This window comes from Homo sapiens, chromosome 4 (genome assembly GCF_000001405.40).
Source record: "Homo sapiens chromosome 4, GRCh38.p14 Primary Assembly".
NCBI lineage: Eukaryota > Metazoa > Chordata > Mammalia > Primates > Hominidae > Homo > Homo sapiens.
Genome location: NC_000004.12, coordinates 134,948,095 through 134,959,668, shown reverse-complemented (window position 1 = coordinate 134,959,668; position 11,574 = coordinate 134,948,095). Strand labels below are relative to the sequence as shown.

At 35.6% G+C, this 11,574-nt stretch overlaps 1 pseudogene; it reads left to right on the top strand.

Moving 5' to 3' along the window:
- RPS2P27 (ribosomal protein S2 pseudogene 27) lies at positions 6,601-7,517 on the top strand (annotated as a pseudogene).

The following is an 11,574-nucleotide window of genomic DNA, read 5'->3' as shown; positions in this document are numbered from 1 at the left end:
TTTATTACCCAAGAGATCCTGACTGTCTTCTATGCATTTTCTTTGGTCAATGCTTATTTATTATCTTCTTGCCTAGTTGTTTAGAGCATTCTGCAATTCAGCCAATCTTATTTAATAAAGCTGCACAGATTCTTCAGTACCATAAGTCAAGTGAATATTTACCTGTTACATACACACATAAGACACACACAACTGTACGTAAGTAAATATAAAATAGCGGGTAAATAAATATATTTAATTAAAGAGCATACATTCATGTACAAATCACTTAAATAATAAGTAAGCACCTCAGTAGGAAAGATGTTATTTGAAAGTATTTACATTTTGAAATTATTCATGTATGATATACAAAAAAGTCACTAGAGGATAAATTTCTAATTAACATCCATATATACTTTTCTAGCCAGGTTTTAAATTGCAGAGTAACATGTATTAGGGCAAGTTTTAGGAATGAAATGGCACTAGGATATAGCTTATAGTTTCTTGGCTTCTCTCATCCATTTCTATACAATGCTAGCTAAACCAAGCAGTTTAAGAATATAGAGGATCATTCACAAATTGTGGCAGGTATTCAACCTGCAAATTTCAGAGCTGTCAGGCTTGAGCGTTTCAATCAATTTTGACATCTCCTGGCATTTCCTTTCATATTCTAGCTTCTATAAATACTATCCTTTCTTAGCTGCCATTTTAGGTTCACAGGCTTGTTTCTCCCCCTAACATAAAGAAAGATTATATTTTAACTATTAGCAGGCCTTTTATTTTCTGCCCTTACTCTGGAAAAAAAAGAAAAAAAATGGTATAATAAATAAACTACCTGATCCTCAAATGCTGTATTGAAAATAAGTGTATTCATAGCTGATGCATTAAAAACGACATATTACATAGCACTTGCAAAAAGAGACATTTCTTAGGAAAATTGTAAAATGTTAAGAACTTTACCATAAAATCCACAATAAGGTAGCATACCAATTATTTGAAAGAAATGCTTTCTGAAGATTCCCAATAATTATTGGGAAAGATCAGAAAGATTCCCATGTTTACAAATACCCTGGAATAACAATTGAAATACGGATATTATTACATTTCTTGTTAACCAAATAACTCTATTTTGAAAAAACTAGTTCCATCTAGGTTCCAACTCTATCTTGATTTAACTTCCTAGTATAACAAGGGCTACCTTATAAAGTGCTTTCACTGTAAAAATGTCATAAACCAAAAGTCCTATGAATCTTGAAAAAATAATTTTTAGAATTTTTCAAGTTCTCCTTTAATCACTATTTTAATTTGGTATGTTTTCCTAAGTAGAAATTAAATAAGGCAATGTAACATGTATCATTCCTGGTAAAGTTAGAATGTTTCAGCTAAAGACTTTGGTCATCTTTTATTGAAAGGTCTTTAAAGGAAAAACATGATCCAGAAAAGCTGTATTTTCCAGAATCATAAAAAGCCTTAGTGGCAGAGCCAGAAAAATAAACACAGAACTACTCAATAGCAGTTCAATATATCCTCTGTATGACTCCATTTTTATGCCAAAGATAGGAAACCTCAAGTGTTTAACCCTGAAACTTAAACTGGCACCTAAAGGGCTTGTATTCTTCCATGGCCAGGGAAACAACTGAGGAATTCCGCTACTATGTAACTGGTGTTTTCATAATCTGGTAGAGATAATTTTAGGTGACTATACACATTTGTGTGAGTGGTTTGTTGTAATATTTTTTCTTTTTTTCAGTATGAATTTTTTCCAGTATGAATTTTTTCCTTTTACATTGTGAAGAGAAGTACTAAACAGAGAGCTTGAGGAGTCTTTTTACTTCTTTTTGAAAATCATAGTCATGTTTGTGACTTCTTTTCTTCTCATACTCAAATTTCAATCATTTATGAAAACTGAAGCTTGCTTCCTTCCTAAGTTCCCTTATATATTTTTTAAATTCCTGTAATTTCATCCTTATTCAGGCCCTTAGCACCTGCACACACTGTACTAAATAGCACTCCAATGGTCTTTTTTGAGTTTTTCTCTTACCTTGGCTATCCTGCCCAATTCCTGTCTTAAGAGCAAAATTTTATTTTATTTTATTTTTTATTTGTTTTTAATTAAATGTTCTTTGTTCTTTTACTCATTAATTTATTCTATTCAGTAAGTTTTTTATGTTTTTATTTGCTTATTTTATTTTCACATTATTTTATTTATTTATTGACCTACTTATTTCTGAGACAGTTTCTCTCTCTGTCACCTAGACTGGAGTGCAGTGGCATGACCTTGGCTCACTGCAACCTCCACCTCCCAGGCTCAAGCAATCCTTCCATTTCAGCCTCGTGAATAGCTGAGACTACAGGCATGCACCACCATGCCTGACTAATATATTTTTTTCTTTATATTTTTCGTAGAGGCTGGGTTTCGCCATATTGCGCAGGCTCATCTCAAACTCCTGCCCTCCAGCGATTGGCCCATCTCAGGCTCCCAAAGGGCTAGGACTACAGATTTGAGGCACTGGCCCCTGCCTATTTTTATTCTTATTTCGATAGATTTCAGAAAGCATGTGGTACATGGTTGCATGGAAAAGTTCTTTAGTGGTGATTTCTGAGATTCTGGCGCACCTATCGCCCTAGCAGTGTACACTGTATCCAATTTGTAGTCTTTTAGCCCTCACAACCCCACCATTTCCCCCCGAGTCCCCAAAGTTCACTATATCATTCTTATGCCTTTGTATCCTCATAGCTTAGTTCCCACTTATAAGTAAGAACACACAATGTTTGGTTTTCCATTCCTGGGTTACTTCACTTAGAATAATGGTCTGCAGCTCCATCCAAGCTGCTGTGAATGTCATTATTTTATTCCTTTTAATGGCTGAGTAGTATTCTGAGATATATATATATCTATATATAGGATATATCTATATATAGATATATATATATCTGAGATATATATATATCTATATATAGATATATCCTATATATAGATATATATATCTGAGATATATTTCTATATATATCTATATATAGTATATCCATATATAGTATATCTATATATAGATATATATTTTATATATATCTATATATAGATATATATTTTATATATATCTATATATTGTATATCCATATATAGTATATCTATATATAGATATGTATTCTATATATATCTATATATAGTATATATCTATATATCTATATATAGTATATATATCTATATATCTATATATAGTATATATATCTATATACTATATATAGATATATATCTATATATCTATATATAGATATATATCTATATATCTATATATAGTATATATAGATATATATCTATATATAGTATGTCTATATATAGTATAGTAGATATATATATCTATATATAGTATATATAGAATATAGATATATACATATATACACACCACATTTTCTTTACTCATTGGCTGATTGGCATTTATGCTGGTTCCATGTTTTTGCAATTGTGAATTGTGCCGCTATAAACAAGCATTTGCAAGTATCTTCTTTGTATAATGACTTATTTTTCTTTGGGTAGATATCCAGTAGTGGGATTTTTTTGATCAAACAGTAGTTCTGCTCTTAATTCTTTAATGGATCTTCATACTGTTTTCCATAATGGTTGTACTAGTTTACATTCCCACCAACAGTGTAAAAGTGTTCCTTTTTTAACCACATCTACACCAACATCTGTTATTTTTTAATTTTTTAAATGTGGCCATTCTTGAAAGAGTAAGGTGGTATCACATTGTGGTTTTGATTTGCATTTCCCTGATCATTAGTGATGTTGAGGATTATTTCATATGTTTGTTGGCCATTTGTATATCTTCTTTTGAGAAGTGTCTATTAATTTCCTTTGTCCACTTTTTGATGGAATTATCATTATTATTACTATTGTTTTGCTTATTTGTTTGAGTTCCTTGTAGATTCTAGATATTAGTCTTTTGTTGGATGCATAGTTTGTGAAGATTTTCTCCCATTCTGTGGGTTGTCTGTTTACTCTGATGATTATTTCTTTTGCTATGGAGATGCTTTTTTATTTAATTTGGTCCCATCTATTTATCTTTGTTTTTGTTACATTTGCTTTCAGGTTCTTGGTTATGAGCTCTTTGCCTAAGCTAATGTCTATAAGAGTTTTTCCAATGTTATCTCCTAGAATATTTATAATTTCGGGTCTTAGATTTTAGTCTTTGATTCATCTCGAGTTGATTTTTGTATAAGTTGAGAGATGAGGCTCCAGCTTTATTCTTCTAGGTGTGGCTTGCCAATTATCCCAGCATCATTTGTTGAATGTGGTATCTTTTCCCCACTTTATGTTTTTGTTTGCCTTGTCAAAGGTCAGTTGGCTGTAAGTATTTGGCTTTACTTCTGGCTTCTGTATTCTGTCCCATTAGTCTATGTGCCCATTTTTATACCAGTTCCCATGCTGTTTTGCTGACTATGGCTTTATAGTATAGTTCAAAATTGGGTAAACTGGTGCCTCCAGATTTGTTCTTTTTGTTTAGTCTTCCTTTGGTTATGCAGCCTCCTTTTTTGTTCCATATGAATTTTAGGATTTTTTTTTCTTGTTCTGTGAAAAATGATGATGGTATTTTGATGAGAGTTGCACGGAATTTATAGATTGCTTTTGGAAGTATGGTCATTTTCACAATATTGATTCTACTCATTCATGATCATGAATTTAAAAATTCTTTAAACTGAACAACATTAGTGACAAAGCATATCAAAGCCTATGAGACACAGCAAAAGTGGCGCTAAGAGGAAAGTTCATAGCATTCAACGCCTACATCAAAAAGTCCAAAAGGGCAGAAATAGACAATCTAAGGTCACACCTCAAGGAACTAGAGAAGCAATAACAAACCAAACTCATGCCTAGCAGAATAAAAGAAAGAATAAAGATGAGAACTGAAGTAAATGAAATCGGAACAAAAAAAATACAAAAGATAAAACAAAAAGCCTGTTCTCTGAAAAAAAAGATTGATAGACTATTAGTCAGATTACCCAAAAAAAGAAGTGAGAAGATCCAAATAAGCTCAATTAGAAATGAAATAAGAGATTTACAACTGATACCACAGAAATACAAAAGATTTCTCAAGGCTACTATGAACAATTTTATGCATATGAACTAGAAAATCTAGAGGAGATGGATAAATTCCTGGAAATATACAATCCACCTAGATTAAATCAGGAAGAAAAAGAAACTCTGCACAGATCAATAACAAGTAGCAAGATTGAAACAGTAATAGAAAAATTGCCAATAAAAAAAGTCTAGGACCAGATCAGTTCATAGCTGAATTCTATCAGGCATTCAAAGAAGAATTGACCACCAGTCTTACTGAAATTATTTCAAAAGATAGAGAAAGAGGAAGTCCTCCTTAAATCATTCTACGAAGCCAGTATCACCCTAATACCAAAATCAAGAAAGGACATAACATTAAAAGAAAGCTACAGGACAATATCATAGATGAACGTCGACTCAAAAATACTTAAAAAAAACTAGCTAACTGAATTCAAAAAGAAAATTCACCATGATCAAGTGGGTTTCATACCAGGAACTCAGGGATGGTTTAACATCTGCAAGTCAATAAATGTAGTATATCACACAAACAGAATTAAAAACAAAAATCATATGATCATCCCAATGATATAGAAAAAGCATTTGACAAAATCCAGCATCTCTTGATGACTAAAACCCTCAACAAAATCAGCATACAAGAGACATACATCAAGGTAATAAAAGCCATCTATGGCAAACCTACAGCTAACATTATACTGAACAGGGAAGAATTGAAAGCATTCCCCCTGAAAACTGGAACAAGACAAGGATGCCCACTTTCACCACTTCTATTTAACGTAGTACCAGAAGTGCTAGCCAGAGCAATCAGACAGAAGAAAGAAATAAAGGGCATCCAGATCAGTAAAGAGGAAGTCAAACTGTTGCTAGTCACCAATGATATGATGATATCCCTAAAAAACCCCAAAGACTCCTCCAAAATGCTCCTAGATCTGATAAATGAATTCAGTATAGTTACAGGATACAAAACAGTGTACACAAATCAACAGCACTGCTATTGATATTAACCAACAGCCAACAACAACCAAGATGAAAATCACATCAAAAACCCAACCCCTTTTACAACAGTTGCAAAAAATGAAACAAAATTATTTGGTATATACCTAACCAAGGAGGTGAAAGATCTCCACGAAGAAAACTATAAAACGCTGCTGAAAGAAATCATAGACTACACAAACAATTTGAACACATCCTATCTTCTTTAAAAAAAAAACAAACAGTAAAGTCATGAACCCTTCAATCTTCCTTATATTTGATTACAGGTATGTTTACTCTCCATGTTTACTCTCCATGTTTACTTGTCAAAGTAGATGTAATGAAAGTGTTTTTTTAGGAGACATTACATGTGAAAACCAGTATCTAGTTCCCCTCTCCTTGCTGGGCATACTTCTTAGCGTTCTGGAAGTCATTGGGCAATCAAGATATGCGTTCTGGCCAATGAATTGTGAGTACAACTTGAGTGTGTATCTTCAGAATCAAGGGAATAAAATTGGGCTCTCCAGGACAATTCTCTGTCACCATATTCTGTAGCCCACTTGTTGAAAATGATGTGGCGGATGACGCCGGTGCGGGGGGCGGGGGCGCGTAGGCTCTGGTGGCCCTGGGATGGGCAACCGCGGTGGCTTCCGCGGAGGTTTCGGTAGTGGCATCTGGGACCGTGGTCGTGGCCGTGGACAGGGCCGGGCCGAGGCTGAGGAGCTCGCAGAGGCAAGGCGAGGATAGGGAGTGGATGCCCGTCACCAATCTGGGCCGCTTGGTCAAGGACATGAAGATCAAGTCCCTGGAGGAGATCTCTTTCTTCTCCCTGCCCCATTAAGGAATCTGAAATCATTGACTTTTTCCTGGGGGCCTCTCTCGAGGACGAGGTTTTGAAGATAATGCCGGTGCAGAAGCAGACCCATGCTGGCCAGCGCACAGGTTCAAGGCGTTTGTTGCTATTGGGGACTACAATGGCCACGTAGGCCTGGGTGTTAAGTGCTCCAAGGAGGTGGCCACCGCCATCCGTGGGGCTATCATCCTGCCCAAGCTCTCCATTGTCCCCGTGCACAGAGGCTACTGGGGGAACAAGACTGGCAAGCCCCACACCGTCCCTTGCAAGGTGACAGGCCTCTGTGGCTCTGTGCTGGCGCGCCTCATCCCTTAACCCAGGGGCACTGGCATCGTCTCCGCATCTGTGCCCAAGAAGCTGCTCATGATGGCTGGTACTGATGACTGCTACACCTCAGCCCGGGGCTGCACTGCCACCCTGGGCAACTTCGCCAAGGCCACCTTGATGCCATCTCTAAGACCTACAGCTACCTGACCCCCGACCTCTGGAAGGAGACTATATTTACCAAGTCTCCCTATCAGGAATTCACTGACCACCTCGTCAAGACCCACACCAGAGTCTCCGTGCAGCGGACTCAGGCTCCAGCTGTGGCTACAACACAGGGTTTTTATACAAGAAAAATAAAGTGAGTTAAGCCTGAAAAAAAAAAAAAAAAGAAAATGATGGGACTTAGAGATAGATATCACATCAATCATTGAACTGTCCTAATGATTCACCTAGGTATGAGCAGATTTTGGGTAAGTGAAAAAGAAAACTTAATTGTGTTAAATATGGCAGCATAAGCTAATCAATCCTGAGCAATATATTCATTATAGAAATATACTCTGTGTAATGTATAAATTATCTTATTTCCCTAAATCTACAGATGAATATCTGTAGATACTGTTTTAACTAGTGTTTTAAAATGTAAGTCTTAATTGGTAAAGAGTTATTACTTCAGTTATAGCAAGTTTCAATTTCAATTATGCATATTTCTAGTGGGCTGGTACATTTCTTCAGTGTTTTGTTTATACACACCAAAATGAACAGTAATTTTTGAGCTAAATATTAAGTTTATTTCTATCCTTGATATATAGACAGCACAAACATTTAATATTTGTGTTACACATATATACTATAACTTTATTAATGACTATGTCTATATTTTATTTATATTTTGGTTTTGGAGAGGTTATTTTTCAATTTTATAAGTTTTTTTCTTTGTTCTGTCTTTGATTTTCAACTTTTAGCTCAAATCCTAAATTTTCTCTCAAAATTTTCTAACTGCCTTCTCTGCTATTTGCTTATTTTTGCATATGCGATAATTTGGACATTACTTTTTTTTCTTACTTATAGTCATTTATTCCTCTCTCTTTTCCCATTACACTGTGAACTCCAAATGCAAAGAACTATGCAGAATACCAGCCAAAATTTTCTTTAATAGTTGAGTATCTGTTTTGATTAGTCAGTGCTCACGATATATTAAGCACCTTGGTTATATGTCATATTTATTTCAGAATTTCTGAAGGACTTGAAATGTACTGTACTTAGACATGGTACTAAAAATATTTGTTTAAGGATTAAATGAATCAATAGAATGTTTATTTGGAGATATGACAAAGAGGCTGGTTTGAATATTTGATGTTAAATAATTATTTCCATTGAAAGCTAAGATTCAATTCAGCTGGAGAATTATGAGGTTACTACTTAGATCTCTTTCTTTTAGCAAGAACTGAAGTGAAGAATGTACAACTGGTGACAAGGGAAAACCCCGACTTTAATTTTGTTAAAAAATAAAACTAAACAAAGGAAAATATTTTTGGAGTCTTTATTCTAATGCTCAATGGCCTCACTTATTTTGAAAATAGTCTCATCAATTAATCTAGTAATGTAACACAGTGGCTATAGAGTAGTTCGTAATCTGCCAAGAAATATAGCAAGATTAATGGGCCTAAAAATTCAGATAAATCAAGTGTCTACTAAGACACTGATCTTTTCTTCTCATTAAAGAAGTATTTGAATCATAATACCACAATGTTACAATGTTACGATAAGAAAGGCTTAATGAGATTGGTAGGTGAGTTAACTCACCAGTTGGTGAGTTATTTTCTTTCTTGCAACAGATTTAAAGGAATTCATTTTTTATATGCAAAAGGTAGTAATGATTTCCAATTGCTCGCCAAATGAACACTAAACATGTACTTTGACATACAAAATTTAAATAGATTTTATTCTGTAGAGGACTTTTAGGATTGCAGACCAATTGAGTGGAAAGTATAGAGAATTACCGTATACTTAGTATCTTCACATGTTTACAACCTCCTCCCTATCAATATCCTGCACTAGAGTGGTAAATTAGTCACAATTACTGAACCTACACAGCCAAAGTTCATAGTTTTGACATTAGGTTCATTCTTGATGTTATGGATTTTATGGGTGTTCCCTTACCCTTTGAAAACACTGATCTTTTTTATGTCTCCATAGTTTTGCCTTTTCTAGCATGTCATATTTTGAACTAATATAGTACGTAGCCTTCTCCCATTGGCTTTCTTAATTTAGCAATGTGCATTAAAGTTTCCTCCATGTCTTTTTATGGCTTGATAAGTCATTTCTTTTCAGTACTTAATAATATTCTAAAGTATTCATTTTCAACAGTTTATTTATCAATTCACCTACTGAATTAAATTCTTACTATATTGACAATTAGGAATAAAGCTACATATATGTCTATGTGCAGATTTTTGTGTGAATATAAATTTTTGACTCATTTGAATAAATTCCACGGAGTGTCATGGCTGAATAGTATGGCCAGAGTATATTTAGTTTTGTAAGAAACTGACAAGTTGGCTTCCAAGGATGCTGTAACATTTTTTATTCCCACCAGCAATGAATGAGAATTCTTGTTGCCCCACATCATCACCAGCTTTTTTCAGTGCTTTAATTTCAACCATTTAAATAAGTGTTTAGTGGTATTTCATTGTTGCTTTAATTTTCAATACCCTAAGGACATGATGTGGAGCTTGTTTTCATATGTTTATTTGCCATCTGTTTATATTCCTTGATGAGGTGCCTGTTGAGATCTTCTGGCCATTTTTAATCAAGTATTATTGTTATTGTTGAGTTTTAAGTGAGTTTTTAAAATATATTTTGGGTAACAGTTGTTTATCAGATATGTCTTTTTCAAATATTTTTTCCAGTCTGGCATATATTCTCATTCTCTTCACAATGTCTTTTGAAGAGCAGAGTTTTAAATTTTAATAAAGTTCAGCTTATTAATTATTTATTTCAAAAAACATGGCTTTGGTATTATCTCTATATATCATCAGCAAAACCAAAGGAATTCAGATATTTAAAAATATTATCTCCTAGGAATTTCATAGTTTTGCATTTCCTATTTATGTCTATAATTTATTTTTAGTTAATTTTTGTAAACAGTGTATTAATCCTTTTTGTTTAACCTGAATGTTCAATTATTCCAGTGCCATTTGTTGAAAAGACTGTCTTTTCTCCATTGCATTACTTTTGCTTCTTTGTCAAAGATCAACTAACTATATTTGAGTCAACTTCTGGGCTTACTATTCTGTTTAATTGATTTATTTACCTATTCTTCTGGAAATATCACACTATTTTGATGCAGTAGCTCTATAGAAAGCCTTGAAGTCAGATAGTGTCAGTCTTCTGATTTTTTTTCTATTTCTATATTGAGTTAGCTATTCTGGGGTCTTTGGCCTCTCCATATGAATTTTCTAATTAAGTTGTCAATATTCACAAAAAGACTTACTGGAATTTTGATTAGGAATGTATTGATCAACTTAGGAAAAACTGACATCTTGACAATATTGAGTCTTCCTATCTATGGACCTAGAATATCTCCCCATTTATTTGGTTCTTCCTTGTAACGTTCATCAGAATTGTATAATTCTCCTAATATACATATTATATATATATAGTTAAATTTATATCTAAGTATTTCATTTCTGGAGGTGCAAATGAAAATGATAAGTTTATATCATTTATTTATTTTATGGTTTTTTGTTTCGAATTCGACTTATTGTGTGTGTCTGTAGAAAAGCAGTTGACTTCTGTATATTAACTTTACATCCTATTGAGAGGTGACAATGTGCTAGCAACCCTCGCTCGCTCTCGGTGCCTCCTTGGCCTCGGCATCCACTCTGGCCACGCTTGGGGAGCCCTTTAGCCCACTGCTGCACTGTGGGAGCCCCTCCCTGGGCTGGCTGAGGCCAGAGCCAGCTCCCTCTGCTTGCGGGGAGGGGTGGAGGGAGAGACGCCAGCAGGAACCAGGGCTGCATGCGGCACTCACAGGCCAGGGTGAGTTCCAGGTGGGCGCAGGTTCTGCGGCCCCGCACTAGGAACAGCCAGCTGGCATCACCGGCCCAGGGCAGTGAGGGGCTTAGCACCCAGGCCAGCAGCTGTGGAGGGTACACCAGGTCCCCCAGCACTGCTGGCCCACCCTTGCCATGCTCGAATTCTCACCAGGCCTCAGCTGCCTCCCTGCAGGGCAGGGCTTGGGACCTGCAGCCTGCCACGCCTGAGCCCCACTCCCCACTGGTGGGCTCCCACGCCGCCGGAGCCTCCCCGACAGGCGCCACCCCCTGCTCTGTGGCACCCGGTCCCATCGACCGCCCAAAGGGTGAGGAGTGCAGGCACGCAGCGCGAGACTGGTGGGCAGCTCCACCCGCTGCCCTGGTGCAGGATC